We start from the raw sequence: 24,081 nt of genomic DNA on the forward strand, positions 1-24,081 counted from the left end.
CACCTGGAGGCAACAGATTCAGGGAAACCAGAGTGTGTTTGATGTCATGTTTTCAACGAAGGCTGAATTACTCCTACTGTCATTGCTGTTGGTTTTCATTGCAGTAGATGTTTAGGTTTCCATTTCTTCCTCCCCTTATCATTTCCTAACGTACCATAGGTTGACCATACTTCAAAAGCTGTACTCTCATGGCCACTGCATCGAATTTTGAGCATATTTTATGGAAAACTATTGAGCTCACTCTTTTCATGATCACAGTTTGCTGTGTGTCATGAGGGCACTAACTCAGAGTGTCCTTTTACTCCCTTACCAGTATGTCACCTGGCCAATTCACTAGGTCACTTTCTCTCTGTCTCTGTCTCTCTCTCTGTCTCTGTCTCTGTCTCTCTCTCTCTCTGTCTTTCTCTTTCATTGTTTTCTACCTGGCCCTGTTCTATCCCAACATAAAGGCAATAATTTGTTACCTCATTAATGGATCTGTCCTTTTTCTTTTCAAACTCTTCCTTAACGTTAGCCATGAAATCTAGCTGGGGCTGTGTGGTTTCTGATTCCCCCTGGCTTATTCTTTACTTTTTCCCACTTTTCCAGGCTCAGCAGGGAGCTGCTGGATGAGAAAGGGCCTGAAGTCTTGCAGGACTCACTGGATAGATGTTATTCAACTCCTTCAGGTTGTCTTGAACTGACTGACTCATGCCAGCCCTACAGAAGTGCCTTTTACATATTGGAGCAACAGTGTGTTGGCTTGGCTATTGACATGGATGGTGAGTACCTTTCTATGAAGGTGATAAGGATCCACTGAGTCTTCTGGTTAGGGTCATATTCCTACTGCAAGTGGCCCTTACTGAGCTGAGAGATGTCATTGCCACAGGGAGGACCTATAGGCACATGTAGGTTGAATGAAACTCTAGTTCCACTTGGCAGCCCAGACAAGGGATGGGTCAGTGAGCAAGGCTCTCTCCCTAGTCTCAGGCCATGCCTGTGGAGCCCTAATCCTACTCTCATGACACTGGACCTGGGCAGATGTGACAAATTCACACAACTCTGATTTTGTCTCAATTTTGTAGATCTTGTAGATTTCATCCTTCACTCTAATTTCAGCGTCTAAAATCCTCGCTACCATGAACAATCTGAGTATTTGATGAGACAGGGCTGAATAGTGCAGTTTTTCTCCTAGCAACCATTTGGGGGTATTTGCTTTAAATCGATTGGAAAAATATGGCATAACCATTTGCACAAACTTGGGACAAATGATATTGGGATAACGATCTACCAGAATAGGGAATTTTACCCACAGTTTCTGGGACAAAAACCAAGGAATCTCTATGGTGATCAGCCTTCAGGCCTCCTGAAGAATATCTCTCACAGTGTCCTATTCTCATGCTGAGGAGCCTGAAGTCTCTGTGTGAGGATTAGACAGTGGATTGTTATGTGTGTAGGAGAACCAGCTTCATATATCTGTCCATGTCTGAACTTATTGCAGAAATTGAAAAGTACCAAGAAGTGGAAGAAGACCAAGACCCATCATGCCCCAGGTAACTTTGAGCAATTATGGATGCTTAATTCTGTGTTGACACCTGGAGATGCCAGGTCCAGGGAAAACAAGAGTGTGTTCAATTTCATGTTTTCAACGAAGGTTGAATTACTCCTACTGACATGGCTGTTGGTTTTCATTGCAGTAGATGTTTAGGTTTCCATTTCTTCCTCCCCTTATCATTTACTAACTTACTATAGGTTGACCATACCTCAAAGGCTGTATGGCAACTGCATGGAATCTTGAGCAAGTTTATGGAAAATTATTGAGCCCACTCTTTTCATGATCACTGTTCGCTGTGTGTCCCGAGGGCACTAACTCAGAGTGTCCTTTGACCCCTTCATCAGTGTGTCACCCGGCCAACTCGCTGAGCTCACTTTCTCCTCTCTCTCTCTCTCTCTCTCTCCCTCTCCCTGTCTTTCTCTTTCATTCTTCTCTACCTGGCCCTGGTCTATCCCAACATAAAGGCAATAATTCATTACCTCATTAATGGATCTGTCCTTTTTCTTTTTAAACAGTTCCTTATGTTAGCCATGAAATCTAGCTGGGGCTGTGTGGTTTCTGATTCCCCCTGGCTTATTCTTTACTTTTTCCTACTTTTCCAGGCTCAGCAGGGAGCTGCTGGATGAGAAAGAGCCTGAAGTCTTGCAGGACTCACTGGATAGATGTTATTCGATTCCTTCAGGTTATCTTGAACTGCCTGACTTAGGCCAGCCCTACAGCAGTGCTGTTTACTCATTGGAGGAACAGTACCTTGGCTTGGCTCTTGACGTGGACAGTGAGTACCTTACTATGAAGGTGATAAGCCTCCACCTGGTCTTCCAGATAGGGGTGATATTCCTGTTCCAAGTGGCCCTTACTGACCCGAGAGATGTCATTGCCGCAGGCAGGACCTGTGGGCGCATATAGGTTGTAATGAAACTGTAGTCTCAGTTGGAAGCCTAGACATGAAATGGGTCAGTGAGCAAGGCTCTATTCCTAGTCTCCAGCCATGCCTGTGGCAACCTGAGCCCGCTCTCAGCACATTGGACCCAGGCAGATGCAAAAAATTCACAGAACTATGATTTGGACTCAAGGGTTTGTAGATTTCCTCCTTCATTCTAATTTCAGTGTCTAAAATTCTTGCATCCATGAACGAGCTGGGCATTTGATGAGACAGGGCTGAATACTGCAGTTTTCCTCCTAGAAATCATCTGGGGCATTTTCTTTGAACTGATGGGAACAATAAGGCATAACTGTTTGCACAAACTTGGGATAAGTGATTTTGGGATAACGATCTACCAGAATGGGGATATTTCACCCTTGGTTCTGAGATGCAAACCAAAGAATATCATGACCAGCTTTCAGGCCTCCTGAAGTATATCTCTCACATTGTCCTGTTCTCATGCTGAGGAGCCTGAGATCCCTGTGTGGGGATTAGACAGTGGACTGTTATGGGTGTAGGTGAATTGGCTTATTTTGTCTGTCCCTGTCTGAATGTATTGCAGGAATTAAAAAGGACCAAGAAGAGGAAGAAGACCAAGACCCACCATGCCCCAGGTAACTGAGCAATTGTGAACAGCTACTTCTGTGTTGACATCTGGAGACTCCTGGTTCAGGGAAAACAGAGCGGGCTGACATTATCGATTACATCTTTTCAAGCAAGCCTGAATTATTCCTACTAACATTGCTGTTGGTTTTCATTGCAGTAGATATTTAGGTTTCCATTTCTTCCTCCCCTTATCATTTACTAACCTACTGTAGGTGGACCAGACTTCAAAAACTGTATTCTCATGGCGACTGCATGGAAACTTGAGCACATTTTATGGAAAATTATTGAGCACAGTCTTTTCATGATCACTGTATGCTGTGTGTCCTGAGGGCACTAACTCAGAGTGTCCTGTTACTCCCTCATCAGTGTGTCACCTGGACAATTCACTGAGCTCGTTCTCTCTCTCTCTCTCTGTGTGTGTGTGTGTGTGTGTGTGCGTGTGTGTGTGTGTGTGTGTGTGTCCATCTGTCTTTCTCTTTCATTCTTTTCCATTTGGCCCTGTTCTGTCCCAACATGAAGGCAATAATTTGTTACCTCATTAATGGATCTATCCTTTTACTTTCTTAACCACTTCCCTATGCTACCCATGAAACCTAGTTGGGGCTCTGTTGTGTGTGATTTCCCCTGGCTTATTCTTTACTTTTTCCTCCTTTTCCAGGCTCAGCAGGGAGCTGGTGGAGGTAGTAGAGCCTGAAGTCTTGCAGGACTCACTGGATAGATGTTATTCAACTCCTTCCAGTTGTCTTGAACAGCCTGACTCCTGCCAGCCCTATGGAAGTTCCTTTTATGCATTGGAGGAAAAACATGTTGGCTTTTCTCTTGACGTGGGAGGTGAGTACCTTTCTATGAAGGTGATAAGCATCCACTGAGTCTTCCATATAAAGATCATATTCCTGCTCCAAGTGGCCATTACTGAGCTGAGAGATGTCGTTGCCGCAGTGAGGACCTATAGGCACATGTAGGTTGAATGAAACTCTAGTTCTACCTGGAAGCCCAGACAAGGGATGGGTCAGTGAGCAAGACTCTCTTCCTAGTCTCAGGCCATACCTGTGGCGCCCTGATCCTATTCTCATGACATTGGACCTGGGCAGATGTGACAAATTCAGAGAACTATGATTTTGACTCAAGGGTTTGTAGATTTCCTTTTTCACTCTAATTTCAGTGTCTAAAGTCCTCACAACCATGAACAATCTGAGTATTTGATGAGACAGGGCTAAATATTGCAGTTTTTCTCCTAGAAATCATTTGAGGGTATTTGCTTTAAATTGATTGGAAAAATATGGCATAACTGTTTGCACAAACTTGGGACAAATGATATTGGGATAACGATCTACTAGAATAGGGACATTTTACCCACAGTTTCTGGGAGAAAAACCGAGGAATTTCTATCATGACCAGCCTTCAGGCCTCCTGAAATATATCTCTCACAGTGTCCTATTCTTATGCTGAGGAGCCTGAGGTCCCTGTGTGAGGATTAGACAGTGGATTGTTATGTGTGTAGGGGAATCAGCTTAATGTGTCTGTCCATGTCTGAATTTATTGCAGAAATTGAAAAGAAGGGGAAGGGGAAGAAAAGAAGGGGAAGAAGATCAAAGAAGGAAAGAAGAAGGGGAAGAAAAGAAGGGGAAGAAGATCAAAACCCACCATGCCCCAGGTGACTTTCAGCAATTGTGGATGCTTAATTCTGTGTTAACACCTGGAGGCAACAGATTCAGGGAAACCAGAGTGTGTTTGATGTCATGTTTTCAACGAAGGCTGAATTACTCCTACTGTCATTGCTGTTGGTTTTCATTGCAGTAGATGTTTAGGTTTCCATTTCTTCCTCCCCTTATCATTTCCTAACGTACCATAGGTTGACCATACTTCAAAAGCTGTACTCTCATGGCCACTGCATCGAATTTTGAGCATATTTTATGGAAAACTATTGAGCTCACTCTTTTCATGATCACAGTTTGCTGTGTGTCATGAGGGCACTAACTCAGAGTGTCCTTTTACTCCCTTACCAGTATGTCACCTGGCCAATTCACTAGGTCACTTTCTCTCTGTCTCTGTCTCTGTCTCTCTCTCTGTCTCTGTCTCTCTCTCTCTCTCTCTCTGTCTTTCTCTTTCATTGTTTTCTACCTGGCCCTGTTCTATCCCAACATAAAGGCAATAATTTGTTACCTCATTAATGGATCTGTCCTTTTTCTTTTCAAACTCTTCCTTAACGTTAGCCATGAAATCTAGCTGGGGCTGTGCGGTTTCTGATTCCCCCTGGCTTATTCTTTACTTTTTCCCACTTTTCCAGGCTCAGCAGGGAGCTGCTGGATGAGAAAGGGCCTGAAGTCTTGCAGGACTCACTGGATAGATGTTATTCAACTCCTTCAGGTTGTCTTGAACTGACTGACTCATGCCAGCCCTACAGAAGTGCCTTTTACATATTGGAGCAACAGTGTGTTGGCTTGGCTGTTGACATGGATGGTGAGTACCTTTCTATGAAGGTGATAAGGATCCACTGAGTCTTCTGGTTAGGGTCATATTCCTACTGCAAGTGGCCCTTACTGAGCTGAGAGATGTCATTGCCACAGGGAGGACCTATAGGCACATGTAGGTTGAATGAAACTCTAGTTCCACTTGGCAGCCCAGACAAGGGATGGGTCAGTGAGCAAGGCTCTCTTCCTAGTCTCAGGCCATGCCTGTGGCGCCCTAATCCTACTCTCATGACACTGGACCTGGGCAGATGTGACAAATTCACGCAACTCTGATTTTGTCTCAATTTTGTAGATCTTGTAGATTTCATCCTTCACTCTAATTTCAGCGTCTAAAATCCTCGCTACCATGAACAATCTGAGTATTTGATGAGACAGGGCTGAATAGTGCAGTTTTTCTCCTAGCAACCATTTGGGGGTATTTGCTTTAAATCGATTGGAAAAATATGGCATAACCATTTGCACAAACTTGGGACAAATGATATTGGGATAACGATCTACCAGAATAGGGAATTTTACCCACAGTTTCTGGGACAAAAACCAAGGAATCTCTATGGTGATCAGCCTTCAGGCCTCCTGAAGAATATCTCTCACAGTGTCCTATTCTCATGCTGAGGAGCCTGAAGTCTCTGTGTGAGGATTAGACAGTGGATTGTTATGTGTGTAGGAGAACCAGCTTCATATATCTGTCCATGTCTGAACTTATTGCAGAAATTGAAAAGTACCAAGAAGTGGAAGAAGACCAAGACCCATCATGCCCCAGGTAACTTTGAGCAATTATGGATGCTTAATTCTGTGTTGACACCTGGAGATGCCAGGTCCAGGGAAAACAAGAGTGTGTTCAATTTCATGTTTTCAACGAAGGTTGAATTACTCCTACTGACATGGCTGTTGGTTTTCATTGCAGTAGATGTTTAGGTTTCCATTTCTTCCTCCCCTTATCATTTACTAACTTACTATAGGTTGACCATACCTCAAAGGCTGTATGGCAACTGCATGGAATCTTGAGCAAGTTTATGGAAAATTATTGAGCCCACTCTTTTCATGATCACTGTTCGCTGTGTGTCCCGAGGGCACTAACTCAGAGTGTCCTTTGACCCCTTCATCAGTGTGTCACCCGGCCAACTCGCTGAGCTCACTTTCTCCTCTCTCTCTCTCTCTCTCTCTCCCTCTCCCTGTCTTTCTCTTTCATTCTTCTCTACCTGGCCCTGGTCTATCCCAACATAAAGGCAATAATTCATTACCTCATTAATGGATCTGTCCTTTTTCTTTTTAAACAGTTCCTTATGTTAGCCATGAAATCTAGCTGGGGCTGTGTGGTTTCTGATTCCCCCTGGCTTATTCTTTACTTTTTCCTACTTTTCCAGGCTCAGCAGGGAGCTGCTGGATGAGAAAGAGCCTGAAGTCTTGCAGGACTCACTGGATAGATGTTATTCGATTCCTTCAGGTTATCTTGAACTGCCTGACTTAGGCCAGCCCTACAGCAGTGCTGTTTACTCATTGGAGGAACAGTACCTTGGCTTGGCTCTTGACGTGGACAGTGAGTACCTTACTATGAAGGTGATAAGCCTCCACCTGGTCTTCCAGATAGGGGTGATATTCCTGTTCCAAGTGGCCCTTACTGACCCGAGAGATGTCATTGCCGCAGGCAGGACCTGTGGGCGCATATAGGTTGTAATGAAACTGTAGTCTCAGTTGGAAGCCTAGACATGAAATGGGTCAGTGAGCAAGGCTCTATTCCTAGTCTCCAGCCATGCCTGTGGCAACCTGAGCCCGCTCTCAGCACATTGGACCCAGGCAGATGCAAAAAATTCACAGAACTATGATTTGGACTCAAGGGTTTGTAGATTTCCTCCTTCATTCTAATTTCAGTGTCTAAAATTCTTGCATCCATGAACGAGCTGGGCATTTGATGAGACAGGGCTGAATACTGCAGTTTTCCTCCTAGAAATCATCTGGGGCATTTTCTTTGAACTGATGGGAACAATAAGGCATAACTGTTTGCACAAACTTGGGATAAGTGATTTTGGGATAACGATCTACCAGAATGGGGATATTTCACCCTTGGTTCTGAGATGCAAACCAAAGAATATCATGACCAGCTTTCAGGCCTCCTGAAGTATATCTCTCACATTGTCCTGTTCTCATGCTGAGGAGCCTGAGATCCCTGTGTGGGGATTAGACAGTGGACTGTTATGGGTGTAGGTGAATTGGCTTATTTTGTCTGTCCCTGTCTGAATGTATTGCAGGAATTAAAAAGGACCAAGAAGAGGAAGAAGACCAAGACCCACCATGCCCCAGGTAACTGAGCAATTGTGAACAGCTACTTCTGTGTTGACATCTGGAGACTCCTGGTTCAGGGAAAACAGAGCGGGCTGACATTATCGATTACATCTTTTCAAGCAAGCCTGAATTATTCCTACTAACATTGCTGTTGGTTTTCATTGCAGTAGATATTTAGGTTTCCATTTCTTCCTCCCCTTATCATTTACTAACCTACTGTAGGTGGACCAGACTTCAAAAACTGTATTCTCATGGCGACTGCATGGAAACTTGAGCACATTTTATGGAAAATTATTGAGCACAGTCTTTTCATGATCACTGTATGCTGTGTGTCCTGAGGGCACTAACTCAGAGTGTCCTGTTACTCCCTCATCAGTGTGTCACCTGGACAATTCACTGAGCTCGTTCTCTCTCTCTCTCTCTGTGTGTGTGTGTGTGTGTGTGTGCGTGTGTGTGTGTGTGTGTGTGTGTCCATCTGTCTTTCTCTTTCATTCTTTTCCATTTGGCCCTGTTCTGTCCCAACATGAAGGCAATAATTTGTTACCTCATTAATGGATCTATCCTTTTACTTTCTTAACCACTTCCCTATGCTACCCATGAAACCTAGTTGGGGCTCTGTTGTGTGTGATTTCCCCTGGCTTATTCTTTACTTTTTCCTCCTTTTCCAGGCTCAGCAGGGAGCTGGTGGAGGTAGTAGAGCCTGAAGTCTTGCAGGACTCACTGGATAGATGTTATTCAACTCCTTCCAGTTGTCTTGAACAGCCTGACTCCTGCCAGCCCTATGGAAGTTCCTTTTATGCATTGGAGGAAAAACATGTTGGCTTTTCTCTTGACGTGGGAGGTGAGTACCTTTCTATGAAGGTGATAAGCATCCACTGAGTCTTCCATATAAAGATCATATTCCTGCTCCAAGTGGCCATTACTGAGCTGAGAGATGTCGTTGCCGCAGTGAGGACCTATAGGCACATGTAGGTTGAATGAAACTCTAGTTCTACCTGGAAGCCCAGACAAGGGATGGGTCAGTGAGCAAGACTCTCTTCCTAGTCTCAGGCCATACCTGTGGCGCCCTGATCCTATTCTCATGACATTGGACCTGGGCAGATGTGACAAATTCAGAGAACTATGATTTTGACTCAAGGGTTTGTAGATTTCCTTTTTCACTCTAATTTCAGTGTCTAAAGTCCTCACAACCATGAACAATCTGAGTATTTGATGAGACAGGGCTAAATATTGCAGTTTTTCTCCTAGAAATCATTTGAGGGTATTTGCTTTAAATTGATTGGAAAAATATGGCATAACTGTTTGCACAAACTTGGGACAAATGATATTGGGATAACGATCTACTAGAATAGGGACATTTTACCCACAGTTTCTGGGAGAAAAACCGAGGAATTTCTATCATGACCAGCCTTCAGGCCTCCTGAAATATATCTCTCACAGTGTCCTATTCTTATGCTGAGGAGCCTGAGGTCCCTGTGTGAGGATTAGACAGTGGATTGTTATGTGTGTAGGGGAATCAGCTTAATGTGTCTGTCCATGTCTGAATTTATTGCAGAAATTGAAAAGAAGGGGAAGGGGAAGAAAAGAAGGGGAAGAAGATCAAAGAAGGAAAGAAGAAGGGGAAGAAAAGAAGGGGAAGAAGATCAAAACCCACCATGCCCCAGGTGACTTTCAGCAATTGTGGATGCTTAATTCTGTGTTAACACCTGGAGGCAACAGATTCAGGGAAACCAGAGTGTGTTTGATGTCATGTTTTCAACGAAGGCTGAATTACTCCTACTGTCATTGCTGTTGGTTTTCATTGCAGTAGATGTTTAGGTTTCCATTTCTTCCTCCCCTTATCATTTCCTAACGTACCATAGGTTGACCATACTTCAAAAGCTGTACTCTCATGGCCACTGCATCGAATTTTGAGCATATTTTATGGAAAACTATTGAGCTCACTCTTTTCATGATCACAGTTTGCTGTGTGTCATGAGGGCACTAACTCAGAGTGTCCTTTTACTCCCTTACCAGTATGTCACCTGGCCAATTCACTAGGTCACTTTCTCTCTGTCTCTGTCTCTGTCTCTCTCTCTGTCTCTGTCTCTCTCTCTCTCTCTCTCTGTCTTTCTCTTTCATTGTTTTCTACCTGGCCCTGTTCTATCCCAACATAAAGGCAATAATTTGTTACCTCATTAATGGATCTGTCCTTTTTCTTTTCAAACTCTTCCTTAACGTTAGCCATGAAATCTAGCTGGGGCTGTGCGGTTTCTGATTCCCCCTGGCTTATTCTTTACTTTTTCCCACTTTTCCAGGCTCAGCAGGGAGCTGCTGGATGAGAAAGGGCCTGAAGTCTTGCAGGACTCACTGGATAGATGTTATTCAACTCCTTCAGGTTGTCTTGAACTGACTGACTCATGCCAGCCCTACAGAAGTGCCTTTTACATATTGGAGCAACAGTGTGTTGGCTTGGCTGTTGACATGGATGGTGAGTACCTTTCTATGAAGGTGATAAGGATCCACTGAGTCTTCTGGTTAGGGTCATATTCCTACTGCAAGTGGCCCTTACTGAGCTGAGAGATGTCATTGCCACAGGGAGGACCTATAGGCACATGTAGGTTGAATGAAACTCTAGTTCCACTTGGCAGCCCAGACAAGGGATGGGTCAGTGAGCAAGGCTCTCTTCCTAGTCTCAGGCCATGCCTGTGGCGCCCTAATCCTACTCTCATGACACTGGACCTGGGCAGATGTGACAAATTCACGCAACTCTGATTTTGTCTCAATTTTGTAGATCTTGTAGATTTCATCCTTCACTCTAATTTCAGCGTCTAAAATCCTCGCTACCATGAACAATCTGAGTATTTGATGAGACAGGGCTGAATAGTGCAGTTTTTCTCCTAGCAACCATTTGGGGGTATTTGCTTTAAATCGATTGGAAAAATATGGCATAACCATTTGCACAAACTTGGGACAAATGATATTGGGATAACGATCTACCAGAATAGGGAATTTTACCCACAGTTTCTGGGACAAAAACCAAGGAATCTCTATGGTGATCAGCCTTCAGGCCTCCTGAAGAATATCTCTCACAGTGTCCTATTCTCATGCTGAGGAGCCTGAAGTCTCTGTGTGAGGATTAGACAGTGGATTGTTATGTGTGTAGGAGAACCAGCTTCATATATCTGTCCATGTCTGAACTTATTGCAGAAATTGAAAAGTACCAAGAAGTGGAAGAAGACCAAGACCCATCATGCCCCAGGTAACTTTGAGCAATTATGGATGCTTAATTCTGTGTTGACACCTGGAGATGCCAGGTCCAGGGAAAACAAGAGTGTGTTCAATTTCATGTTTTCAACGAAGGTTGAATTACTCCTACTGACATGGCTGTTGGTTTTCATTGCAGTAGATGTTTAGGTTTCCATTTCTTCCTCCCCTTATCATTTACTAACTTACTATAGGTTGACCATACCTCAAAGGCTGTATGGCAACTGCATGGAATCTTGAGCAAGTTTATGGAAAATTATTGAGCCCACTCTTTTCATGATCACTGTTCGCTGTGTGTCCCGAGGGCACTAACTCAGAGTGTCCTTTGACCCCTTCATCAGTGTGTCACCCGGCCAACTCGCTGAGCTCACTTTCTCCTCTCTCTCTCTCTCTCTCTCTCCCTCTCCCTGTCTTTCTCTTTCATTCTTCTCTACCTGGCCCTGGTCTATCCCAACATAAAGGCAATAATTCATTACCTCATTAATGGATCTGTCCTTTTTCTTTTTAAACAGTTCCTTATGTTAGCCATGAAATCTAGCTGGGGCTGTGTGGTTTCTGATTCCCCCTGGCTTATTCTTTACTTTTTCCTACTTTTCCAGGCTCAGCAGGGAGCTGCTGGATGAGAAAGAGCCTGAAGTCTTGCAGGACTCACTGGATAGATGTTATTCGATTCCTTCAGGTTATCTTGAACTGCCTGACTTAGGCCAGCCCTACAGCAGTGCTGTTTACTCATTGGAGGAACAGTACCTTGGCTTGGCTCTTGACGTGGACAGTGAGTACCTTACTATGAAGGTGATAAGCCTCCACCTGGTCTTCCAGATAGGGGTGATATTCCTGTTCCAAGTGGCCCTTACTGACCCGAGAGATGTCATTGCCGCAGGCAGGACCTATGGGCGCATATAGGTTGTAATGAAACTGTAGTCTCAGTTGGAAGCCTAGACATGAAATGGGTCAGTGAGCAAGGCTCTATTCCTAGTCTCCAGCCATGCCTGTGGCAACCTGAGCCCGCTCTCAGCACATTGGATCCAGGCAGATGCAAAAAATTCACAGAACTATGATTTGGACTCAAGGGTTTGTAGATTTCCTCCTTCATTCTAATTTCAGTGTCTAAAATTCTTGCATCCATGAACGAGCTGGGCATTTGATGAGACAGGGCTGAATACTGCAGTTTTCCTCCTAGAAATCATCTGGGGCATTTTCTTTGAACTGATGGGAACAATAAGGCATAACTGTTTGCACAAACTTGGGATAAGTGATTTTGGGATAACGATCTACCAGAATGGGGATATTTCACCCTTGGTTCTGAGATGCAAACCAAAGAATATCATGACCAGCTTTCAGGCCTCCTGAAGTATATCTCTCACATTGTCCTGTTCTCATGCTGAGGAGCCTGAGATCCCTGTGTGGGGATTAGACAGTGGACTGTTATGGGTGTAGGTGAATTGGCTTATTTTGTCTGTCCCTGTCTGAATGTATTGCAGGAATTAAAAAGGACCAAGAAGAGGAAGAAGACCAAGACCCACCATGCCCCAGGTAACTGAGCAATTGTGAACAGCTACTTCTGTGTTGACATCTGGAGACTCCTGGTTCAGGGAAAACAGAGCGGGCTGACATTATCGATTACATCTTTTCAAGCAAGCCTGAATTATTCCTACTAACATTGCTGTTGGTTTTCATTGCAGTAGATATTTAGGTTTCCATTTCTTCCTCCCCTTATCATTTACTAACCTACTGTAGGTGGACCAGACTTCAAAAACTGTATTCTCATGGCGACTGCATGGAAACTTGAGCACATTTTATGGAAAATTATTGAGCACAGTCTTTTCATGATCACTGTATGCTGTGTGTCCTGAGGGCACTAACTCAGAGTGTCCTGTTACTCCCTCATCAGTGTGTCACCTGGACAATTCACTGAGCTCGTTCTCTCTCTCTCTCTCTGTGTGTGTGTGTGTGTGTGTGTGCGTGTGTGTGTGTGTGTGTGTGTGTCCATCTGTCTTTCTCTTTCATTCTTTTCCATTTGGCCCTGTTCTGTCCCAACATGAAGGCAATAATTTGTTACCTCATTAATGGATCTATCCTTTTAGTTTCTTAACCACTTCCCTATGCTACGCATGAAACCTAGTTGGGGCTCTGTTGTGTGTGATTTCCCCTGGCTTATTCTTTACTTTTTCCTCCTTTTCCAGGCTCAGCAGGGAGCTGGTGGAGGTAGTAGAGCCTGAAGTCTTGCAGGACTCACTGGATAGATGTTATTCAACTCCTTCCAGTTGTCTTGAACAGCCTGACTCCTGCCAGCCCTATGGAAGTTCCTTTTATGCATTGGAGGAAAAACATGTTGGCTTTTCTCTTGACGTGGGAGGTGAGTACCTTTCTATGAAGGTGATAAGCATCCACTGAGTCTTCCATATAAAGATCATATTCCTGCTCCAAGTGGCCATTACTGAGCTGAGAGATGTCGTTGCCGCAGTGAGGACCTATAGGCACATGTAGGTTGAATGAAACTCTAGTTCTACCTGGAAGCCCAGACAAGGGATGGGTCAGTGAGCAAGACTCTCTTCCTAGTCTCAGGCCATACCTGTGGCGCCCTGATCCTATTCTCATGACATTGGACCTGGGCAGATGTGACAAATTCAGAGAACTATGATTTTGACTCAAGGGTTTGTAGATTTCCTTTTTCACTCTAATTTCAGTGTCTAAAGTCCTCACAACCATGAACAATCTGAGTATTTGATGAGACAGGGCTAAATATTGCAGTTTTTCTCCTAGAAATCATTTGAGGGTATTTGCTTTAAATTGATTGGAAAAATATGGCATAACTGTTTGCACAAACTTGGGACAAATGATATTGGGATAACGATCTACTAGAATAGGGACATTTTACCCACAGTTTCTGGGAGAAAAACCGAGGAATTTCTATCATGACCAGCCTTCAGGCCTCCTGAAATATATCTCTCACAGTGTCCTATTCTTATGCTGAGGAGCCTGAGGTCCCTGTGTGAGGATTAGACAGTGGATTGTTATGTGTGTAGGGGAATCAGCTTAATGTGTCTGTCCATGTCTGAATTTATTGCAGAAATTGAAAAGAAGGGGAAGGGGAAGAAAAGAAGGGGAAGAAGATCAAAGAAGGAAAGAAGAAGGGGAAGAAAAGAAGGGGAAGAAGATCAAAACCCACCATGCCCCAGGTGACTTTCAGCAATTGTGGATGCTTAATTCTGTGTTAACACCTGGAGGCAACAGATTCAGGGAAACCAGAGCGTGTTTGATGTCATGTTTTCAACGAAGGCTGAATTACTCCTACTGTCATTGCTGTTGGTTTTCATTGCAGTAGATGTTTAGGTTTCCATTTCTTCCTCCCCTTATCATTTCCTAACGTACCATAGGTTGACCATACTTCAAAAGCTGTACTCTCATGGCCACTGCATCGAATTTTGAGCATATTTTATGGAAAACTATTGAGCTCACTCTTTTCATGATCACAGTTTGCTGTGTGTCATGAGGGCACTAACTCAGAGTGTCCTTTTACTCCCTTACCAGTATGTCACCTGGCCAATTCACTAGGTCACTTTCTCTCTGTCTCTGTCTCTGTCTCTCTCTCTGTCTCTGTCTCTCTCTCTCTCTCTCTCTGTCTTTCTCTTTCATTGTTTTCTACCTGGCCCTGTTCTATCCCAACATAAAGGCAATAATTTGTTACCTCATTAATGGATCTGTCCTTTTTCTTTTCAAACTCTTCCTTAACGTTAGCCATGAAATCTAGCTGGGGCTGTGCGGTTTCTGATTCCCCCTGGCTTATTCTTTACTTTTTCCCACTTTTCCAGGCTCAGCAGGGAGCTGCTGGATGAGAAAGGGCCTGAAGTCTTGCAGGACTCACTGGATAGATGTTATTCAACTCCTTCAGGTTGTCTTGAACTGACTGACTCATGCCAGCCCTACAGAAGTGCCTTTTACATATTGGAGCAACAGTGTGTTGGCTTGGCTGTTGACATGGATGGTGAGTACCTTTCTATGAAGGTGATAAGGATCCACTGAGTCTTCTGGTTAGGGTCATATTCCTACTGCAAGTGGCCCTTACTGAGCTGAGAGATGTCATTGCCACAGGGAGGACCTATAGGCACATGTAGGTTGAATGAAACTCTAGTTCCACTTGGCAGCCCAGACAAGGGATGGGTCAGTGAGCAAGGCTCTCTTCCTAGTCTCAGGCCATGCCTGTGGCGCCCTAATCCTACTCTCATGACATTGGACCTGGGCAGATGTGACAAATTCACGCAACTCTGATTTTGTCTCAATTTTGTAGATCTTGTAGATTTCATCCTTCACTCTAATTTCAGCGTCTAAAATCCTCGCTACCATGAACAATCTGAGTATTTGATGAGACAGGGCTGAATAGTGCAGTTTTTCTCCTAGCAACCATTTGGGGGTATTTGCTTTAAATCGATTGGAAAAATATGGCATAACCATTTGCACAAACTTGGGACAAATGATATTGGGATAACGATCTACCAGAATAGGGAATTTTACCCACAGTTTCTGGGACAAAAACCAAGGAATCTCTATGGTGATCAGCCTTCAGGCCTCCTGAAGAATATCTCTCACAGTGTCCTATTCTCATGCTGAGGAGCCTGAAGTCTCTGTGTGAGGATTAGACAGTGGATTGTTATGTGTGTAGGAGAACCAGCTTCATATGTCTGTCCATGTCTGAACTTATTGCAGAAATTGAAAAGTACCAAGAAGTGGAAGAAGACCAAGACCCATCATGCCCCAGGTAACTTTGAGCAATTATGGATGCTTAATTCTGTGTTGACACCTGGAGATGCCAGGTCCAGGGAAAACAAGAGTGTGTTCAATTTCATGTTTTCAACGAAGGTTGAATTACTCCTACTGACATGGCTGTTGGTTTTCATTGCAGTAGATGTTTAGGTTTCCATTTCTTCCTCCCCTTATCATTTACTAACTTACTATAGGTTGACCATACCTCAAAGGCTGTATGGCAACTGCATGGAATCTTGAGCAAGTTTATGGAAAATTATTGAGCCCACTCTTTTCATGATCACTGTTCGCTGTGTGTCCCGAGGGCACTAACTCAGAGTGTCCTTTGACCCCTTCATCAGTGTGTCACCCGGCCAACTCGCTGAGCTCACTTTCTCCTCTCTCTCTCTCTCTCTCTCTCCCTCTCCCTGTCTTTCTCTTTCATTCTTCTCTACCTGGCCCTGGTCTATCCCAACATAAAGGCAATAATTCATTACCTCATTAATGGATCTGTCCTTTTTCTTTTTAAACAGTTCCTTATGTTAGCCATGAAATCTAGCTGGGGCTGTGTGGTTTCTGATTCCCCCTGGCTTATTCTTTACTTTTTCCTACTTTTCCAGGCTCAGCAGGGAGCTGCTGGATGAGAAAGAGCCTGAAGTCTTGCAGGACTCACTGGATAGATGTTATTCGATTCCTTCAGGTTATCTTGAACTGCCTGACTTAGGCCAGCCCTACAGCAGTGCTGTTTACTCATTGGAGGAACAGTACCTTGGCTTGGCTCTTGACGTGGACAGTGAGTACCTTACTATGAAGGTGATAAGCCTCCACCTGGTCTTCCAGATAGGGGTGATATTCCTGTTCCAAGTGGCCCTTACTGACCCGAGAGATGTCATTGCCGCAGGCAGGACCTATGGGCGCATATAGGTTGTAATGAAACTGTAGTCTCAGTTGGAAGCCTAGACATGAAATGGGTCAGTGAGCAAGGCTCTATTCCTAGTCTCCAGCCATGCCTGTGGCAACCTGAGCCCGCTCTCAGCACATTGGACCCAGGCAGATGCAAAAAATTCACAGAACTATGATTTGGACTCAAGGGTTTGTAGATTTCCTCCTTCATTCTAATTTCAGTGTCTAAAATTCTTGCATCCATGAACGAGCTGGGCATTTGATGAGACAGGGCTGAATACTGCAGTTTTCCTCCTAGAAATCATCTGGGGCATTTTCTTTGAACTGATGGGAACAATAAGGCATAACTGTTTGCACAAACTTGGGATAAGTGATTTTGGGATAACGATCTACCAGAATGGGGATATTTCACCCTTGGTTCTGAGATGCAAACCAAAGAATATCATGACCAGCTTTCAGGCCTCCTGAAGTATATCTCTCACATTGTCCTGTTCTCATGCTGAGGAGCCTGAGATCCCTGTGTGGGGATTAGACAGTGGACTGTTATGGGTGTAGGTGAATTGGCTTATTTTGTCTGTCCCTGTCTGAATGTATTGCAGGAATTAAAAAGGACCAAGAAGAGGAAGAAGACCAAGACCCACCATGCCCCAGGTAACTGAGCAATTGTGAACAGCTACTTCTGTGTTGACATCTGGAGACTCCTGGTTCAGGGAAAACAGAGCGGGCTGACATTATCGATTACATCTTTTCAAGCAAGCCTGAATTATTCCTACTAACATTGCTGTTGGTTTTCATTGCAGTAGATATTTAGGTTTCCATTTCTTCCTCCCCTTATCATTTACTAACCTACTGTAGGTGGACCAGACTTCAAAAACTGTATTCTCATGGCGACTGCATGGAAACTTGAGCACATTTTATGGAAAATTATTGAGCACAGTCTTTTCATGATCACTGTATGCTGTGTGTCCTGAGGGCACTAACTCAGAGTGTCCTGTTACTCCCTCATCAGTGTGTCACCTGGACAATTCACTGAGCTCGTTCTCTCTCTCTCTCTCTGTGTGTGTGTGTGTGTGTGTGTGTGTGTGTGTGTGTGTGTGTGTCTATCTGTCTTTCTCTTTCATTCTTTTCCATTTGGCCCTGTTCTGTCCCAACATGAAGGCAATAATTTGTTACCTCATTAATGGATCTATCCTTTTAGTTTCTTAACCACTTCCCTATGCTACCCATGAAACCTAGTTGGGGCTCTGTTGTGTGTGATTTCCCCTGGCTTATTCTTTACTTTTTCCTCCTTTTCCAGGCTCAGCAGGGAGCTGCTGGAGGTAGTAGAGCCTGAAGTCTTGCAGGACTCACTGGATAGATGTTATTCAACTCCTTCCAGTTGTCTTGAACAGCCTGACTCCTGCCAGCCCTATGGAAGTTCCTTTTATGCATTGGAGGAAAAACATGTTGGCTTTTCTCTTGACGTGGGAGGTGAGTACCTTTCTATGAAGGTGATAAGCACCACTGAGTCTTCCATATAAAGATCATATTCCTGCTCCAAGTGGCCATTACTGAGCTGAGAGATGTCGTTGCCGCAGTGAGGACCTATAGGCACATGTAGGTTGAATGAAACTCTAGTTCTACCTGGAAGCCCAGACAAGGGATGGGTCAGTGAGCAAGACTCTCTTCCTAGTCTCAGGCCATACCTGTGGCGCCCTGATCCTATTCTCATGACATTGGACCTGGGCAGATGTGACAAATTCAGAGAACTATGATTTTGACTCAAGGGTTTGTAGATTTCCTTTTTCACTCTAATTTCAGTGTCTAAAGTCCTCACAACCATGAACAATCTGAGTATTTGATGAGACAGGGCTAAATATTGCAGTTTTTCTCCTAGAAATCATTTGAGGGTATTTGCTTTAAATTGATTGGAAAAATGTGGCATAACTGTTTGCACAAACTTGGGACAAATGATATTGGGATAACGATCTACTAGAATAGGGACATTTTACCCACAGTTTCTGGGAGAAAAACCGAGGAATTTCTATCATGACCAGCCTTCAGGCCTCCTGAAATATATCTCTCACAGTGTCCTATTCTTATGCTGAGGAGCCTGAGGTCCCTGTGTGAGGATTAGACAGTGGATTGTTATGTGTGTAGGGGAATCAGCTTAATGTGTCTGTCCATGTCTGAATTTATTGCAGAAATTGAAAAGAAGGGGAAGGGGAAGAAAAGAAGGGGAAGAAGATCAAAGAAGGAAAGAAGAAGGGGAAGAAAAGAAGGGGAAGAAGATCAAAACCCACCATGCCCCAGGTGACTTTCAGCAATTGTGGATGCTTAATTCTGTGTTAACACCTGGAGGCAACAGATTCAGGGAAACCAGAGCGTGTTTGATGTCATGTTTTCAACGAAGGCTGAATTACTCCTACTGTCATTGCTGTTGGTTTTCATTGCAGTAGATGTTTAGGTTTCCATTTCTTCCTCCCCTTATCATTTACTAGCGTACCATAGGTTGACCATACTTCAAAAGCTGTACTCTCATGGCCACTGCATCGAATTTTGAGCATATTTTATGGAAAACTATTGAGCTCACTCTTTTCATGATCACAGTTTGCTGTGTGTCATGAGGGCACTAACTCAGAGTGTCCTTTTACTCCCTTACCAGTATGTCACCTGGCCAATTCACTAGGTCACTTTCTCTCTGTCTCTGTCTCTGTCTCTCTCTCTGTCTCTGTCTCTCTCTCTCTCTCTCTCTGTCTTTCTCTTTCATTGTTTTCTACCTGGCCCTGTTCTATCCCAACATAAAGGCAATAATTTGTTCCCTCATTAATGGATCTGTCCTTTTTCTTTTCAAACTCTTCCTTAACGTTAGCCATGAAATCTAGCTGGGGCTGTGCGGTTTCTGATTCCCCCTGGCTTATTCTTTACTTTTTCCCACTTTTCCAGGCTCAGCAGGGAGCTGCTGGATGAGAAAGGGCCTGAAGTCTTGCAGGACTCACTGGATAGATGTTATTCAACTCCTTCAGGTTGTCTTGAACTGACTGACTCATGCCAGCCCTACAGAAGTGCCTTTTACATATTGGAGCAACAGTGTGTTGGCTTGGCTGTTGACATGGATGGTGAGTACCTTTCTATGAAGGTGATAAGGATCCACTGAGTCTTCTGGTTAGGGTCATATTCCTACTGCAAGTGGCCCTTACTGAGCTGAGAGATGTCATTGCCACAGGGAGGACCTATAGGCACATGTAGGTTGAATGAAACTCTAGTTCCACTTGGCAGCCCAGACAAGGGATGGGTCAGTGAGCAAGGCTCTCTCCCTAGTCTCAGGCCATGCCTGTGGCGCCCTAATCCTACTCTCATGACATTGGACCTGGGCAGATGTGACAAATTCACACAACTCTGATTTTGTCTCAATTTTGTAGATCTTGTAGATTTCATCCTTCACTCTAATTTCAGCGTCTAAAATCCTCGCTACCATGAACAATCTGAGTATTTGATGAGACAGGGCTGAATAGTGCAGTTTTTCTCCTAGCAACCATTTGGGGGTATTTGCTTTAAATCGATTGGAAAAATATGGCATAACCATTTGCACAAACTTGGGACAAATGATATTGGGATAACGATCTACCAGAATAGGGAATTTTACCCACAGTTTCTGGGACAAAAACCAAGGAATCTCTATGGTGATCAGCCTTCAGGCCTCCTGAAGAATATCTCTCACAGTGTCCTATTCTCATGCTGAGGAGCCTGAAGTTCCTGTGTGAGGATTAGACAGTGGATTGTTATGTGTGTAGGAGAACCAGCTTCATATGTCTGTCCATGTCTGAACTTATTGCAGAAATTGAAAAGTACCAAGAAGTGGAAGAAGACCAAGACCCATCATGCCCCAGGTAACTTTGAGCAATTATGGATGCTTAATTCTGTGTTGACACCTGGAGATGCCAGGTCCAGGGAAAACAAGAGTGTGTTCAATTTCATGTTTTCAACGAAGGTTGAATTACTCCTACTGACATGGCTGTTGGTTTTCATTGCAGTAGATGTTTAGGTTTCCATTTCTTCCTCCCCTTAACATTTACTAACTTACTATAGGTTGACCATACCTCAAAGGCTGTATGGCAACTGCATGGAATCTTGAGCAAGTTTATGGAAAATTATTGAGCCCACTCTTTTCATGATCACTGTTCGCTGTGTGTCCCGAGGGCACTAACTCAGAGTGTCCTTTGACCCCTTCATCAGTGTGTCACCCGGCCAACTCGCTGAGCTCACTTTCTCCTCTCTCTCTCTCTCTCTCTCCCTCTCCCTGTCTTTCTCTTTCATTCTTTTCTACCTGGCCCTGGTCTATCCCAACATAAAGGCAATAATTCATTACCTCATTAATGGATCTGTCCTTTTTCTTTTTAAACAGTTCCTTATGTTAGCCATGAAATCTAGCTGGGGCTGTGTGGTTTCTGATTCCCCCTGGCTTATTCTTTACTTTTTCCTACTTTTCCAGGCTCAGCAGGGAGCTGCTGGATGAGAAAGAGCCTGAAGTCTTGCAGGACTCACTGGATAGATGTTATTCGACTCCTTCAGGTTATCTTGAACTGCCTGACTTAGGCCAGCCCTACAGCAGTGCTGTTTACTCATTGGAGGAACAGTACCTTGGCTTGGCTCTTGACGTGGACAGTGAGTACCTTACTATGAAGGTGATAAGCCTCCACCTGGTCTTCCAGATAGGGGTGATATTCCTGTTCCAAGTGGCCCTTACTGACCCGAGAGATGTCATTGCCGCAGGCAGGACCTATGGGCGCATATAGGTTGTAATGAAACTGTAGTCTCAGTTGGAAGCCTAGACATGAAATGGGTCAGTGAGCAAGGCTCTATTCCTAGTCTCCAGCCATGCCTGTGGCAACCTGAGCCCGCTCTCAGCACATTGGACCCAGGCAGATGTAAAAAATTCACAGAACTATGATTTGGACTCAAGGGTTTGTGGATTTCCTCCTTCATTCTAATTTCAGTGTCTAAAATTCTTGCATCCATGAACGAGCTGGGCATTTGATGAGACAGGGCTGAATACTGCAGTTTTCCTCCTAGAAATCATCTGGGGCATTTTCTTTGAACTGATGGGAACAATAAGGCATAACTGTTTGCACAAACTTGGGATAAGTGATTTTGGGATAACGATCTACCAGAATGGGGATATTTCACCCTTGGTTCTGAGATGCAAACCAAAGAATATCATGACCAGCTTTCAGGCCTCCTGAAGTATATCTCTCACATTGTCCTGTTCTCATGCTGAGGAGCCTGAGATCCCTGTGTGGGGATTAGACAGTGGACTGTTATGGGTGTAGGTGAATTGGCTTATTTTGTCTGTCCCTGTCTGAATGTATTGCAGGAATTAAAAAGGACCAAGAAGAGGAAGAAGACCAAGGCCCACCATGCCCCAGGTAACTGAGCAATTGTGAACAGCTACTTCTGTGTTGACATCTGGAGACTCCTGGTTCAGGGAAAACAGAGCGGGCTGACATTATCGATTACATCTTTTCAAGCAAGCCTGAATTATTCCTACTAACATTGCTGTTGGTTTTCATTGCAGTAGATATTTAGGTTTCCATTTCTTCCTCCCCTTATCATTTACTAACCTACTGTAGGTGGACCAGACTTCAAAAACTGTATTCTCATGGCGACTGCATGGAAACTTGAGCACATTTTATGGAAAATTATTGAGCACAGTCTTTTCATGATCACTGTATGCTGTGTGTCCTGAGGGCACTAACTCAGAGTGTCCTGTTACTCCCTCATCAGTGTGTCACCTGGACAATTCACTGAGCTCGTTCTCTCTCTCTCTCTGTGTGTGTGTGTGTGTGTGTGTGTGTGTGTGTGTGTGTGTGTGTGTGTCTGTCTTTCTCTTTCATTCTTTTCCATTTGGCCCTGTTCTGTCCCAACATGAAGGCAATAATTTGTTACCTCATTAATGGATCTATCCTTTTAGTTTCTTAACCACTTCCCTATGCTACCCATGAAACCTAGTTGGGGCTCTGTTGTGTGTGATTTCCCCTGGCTTATTCTTTACTTTTTCCTCCTTTTCCAGGCTCAGCAGGGAGCTGCTGGAGGTAGTAGAGCCTGAAGTCTTGCAGGACTCACTGGATAGATGTTATTCAACTCCTTCCAGTTGTCTTGAACAGCCTGACTCCTGCCAGCCCTATGGAAGTTCCTTTTATGCATTGGAGGAAAAACATGTTGGCTTTTCTCTTGACGTGGGAGGTGAGTACCTTTCTATGAAGGTGATAAGCATCCACTGAGTCTTCCATATAAAGATCATATTCCTGCTCCAAGTGGCCATTACTGAGCTGAGAGATGTCGTTGCCGCAGTGAGGACCTATAGGCACATGTAGGTTGAATGAAACTCTAGTTCTACCTGGAAGCCCAGACAAGGGATGGGTCAGTGAGCAAGACTCTCTTCCTAGTCTCAGGCCATACCTGTGGCGCCCTGATCCTATTCTCATGACATTGGACCTGGGCAGATGTGACAAATTCAGAGAACTATGATTTTGACTCAAGGGTTTGTAGATTTCCTTTTTCACTCTAATTTCAGTGTCTAAAGTCCTCACAACCATGAACAATCTGAGTATTTGATGAGACAGGGCTAAATATTGCAGTTTTTCTCCCAGAAATCATTTGAGGGTATTTGCTTTAAATTGATTGGAAAAATATGGCATAACTGTTTGCACAAACTTGGGACAAATGATATTGGGATAACGATCTACTAGAATAGGGACATTTTACCCACAGTTTCTGGGAGAAAAACCGAGGAATTTCTATCATGACCAGCCTTCAGGCCTCCTGAAATATATCTCTCACAGTGTCCTATTCTTATGCTGAGGAGCCTGAGGTCCCTGTGTGAGGATTAGACAGTGGATTGTTATGTGTGTAGGGGAATCAGCTTAATGTGTCTGTCCATGTCTGAATTTATTGCAGAAATTGAAAAGAAGGGGAAGGGGAAGAAAAGAAGGGGAAGAAGATCAAAGAAGGAAAGAAGAAGGGGAAGAAAAGAAGGGGAAGAAGATCAAAACCCACCATGCCCCAGGTGACTTTCAGCAATTGTGGATGCTTAATTCTGTGTTAACACCTGGAGGCAACAGATTCAGGGAAACCAGAGTGTGTTTGATGTCATGTTTTCAACGAAGGCTGAATTACTCCTACTGTCATTGCTGTTGGTTTTCATTGCAGTAGATGTTTAGGTTTCCATTTCTTCCTCCCCTTATCATTTACTAACGTACCATAGGTTGACCATACTTCAAAAGCTGTACTCTCATGGCCACTGCATCGAATTTTGAGCATATTTTATGGAAAACTATTGAGCTCACTCTTTTCATGATCACAGTTTGCTGTGTGTCATGAGGGCACTAACTCAGAGTGTC

General features: G+C 44.0%; 1 protein-coding gene across 1 annotated transcript in view; it reads left to right on the plus strand.

The window, feature by feature from the left end:
* The window catches only part of NBPF19 (NBPF member 19), an 81,317-nt gene that overhangs the window by 21,892 nt on the left and 35,344 nt on the right, over positions 1–24,081 (plus strand). Inside the window, exons 22-51 of the mRNA NM_001351365.2 lie at positions 589–761; positions 1,481–1,532; positions 2,137–2,309; positions 3,019–3,070; positions 3,721–3,893; positions 4,608–4,716; positions 5,350–5,522; positions 6,242–6,293; positions 6,898–7,070; positions 7,780–7,831; positions 8,482–8,654; positions 9,369–9,477; positions 10,111–10,283; positions 11,003–11,054; positions 11,659–11,831; positions 12,541–12,592; positions 13,243–13,415; positions 14,130–14,238; positions 14,872–15,044; positions 15,764–15,815; positions 16,420–16,592; positions 17,302–17,353; positions 18,000–18,172; positions 18,886–18,994; positions 19,628–19,800; positions 20,520–20,571; positions 21,174–21,346; positions 22,056–22,107; positions 22,752–22,924; positions 23,639–23,747. Of these exons, the coding sequence (NP_001338294.1) occupies positions 589–761; positions 1,481–1,532; positions 2,137–2,309; positions 3,019–3,070; positions 3,721–3,893; positions 4,608–4,716; positions 5,350–5,522; positions 6,242–6,293; positions 6,898–7,070; positions 7,780–7,831; positions 8,482–8,654; positions 9,369–9,477; positions 10,111–10,283; positions 11,003–11,054; positions 11,659–11,831; positions 12,541–12,592; positions 13,243–13,415; positions 14,130–14,238; positions 14,872–15,044; positions 15,764–15,815; positions 16,420–16,592; positions 17,302–17,353; positions 18,000–18,172; positions 18,886–18,994; positions 19,628–19,800; positions 20,520–20,571; positions 21,174–21,346; positions 22,056–22,107; positions 22,752–22,924; positions 23,639–23,747 (3,660 nt within the window). The remainder of the gene's footprint in view (positions 1–588; positions 762–1,480; positions 1,533–2,136; positions 2,310–3,018; positions 3,071–3,720; positions 3,894–4,607; positions 4,717–5,349; positions 5,523–6,241; positions 6,294–6,897; positions 7,071–7,779; positions 7,832–8,481; positions 8,655–9,368; positions 9,478–10,110; positions 10,284–11,002; positions 11,055–11,658; positions 11,832–12,540; positions 12,593–13,242; positions 13,416–14,129; positions 14,239–14,871; positions 15,045–15,763; positions 15,816–16,419; positions 16,593–17,301; positions 17,354–17,999; positions 18,173–18,885; positions 18,995–19,627; positions 19,801–20,519; positions 20,572–21,173; positions 21,347–22,055; positions 22,108–22,751; positions 22,925–23,638; positions 23,748–24,081) is intronic.

The sequence above is a fragment of the Homo sapiens genome, chromosome 1 (assembly GCF_000001405.40).
Source record: "Homo sapiens chromosome 1, GRCh38.p14 Primary Assembly".
NCBI classification, from domain to species: Eukaryota; Metazoa; Chordata; class Mammalia; order Primates; family Hominidae; genus Homo; species Homo sapiens.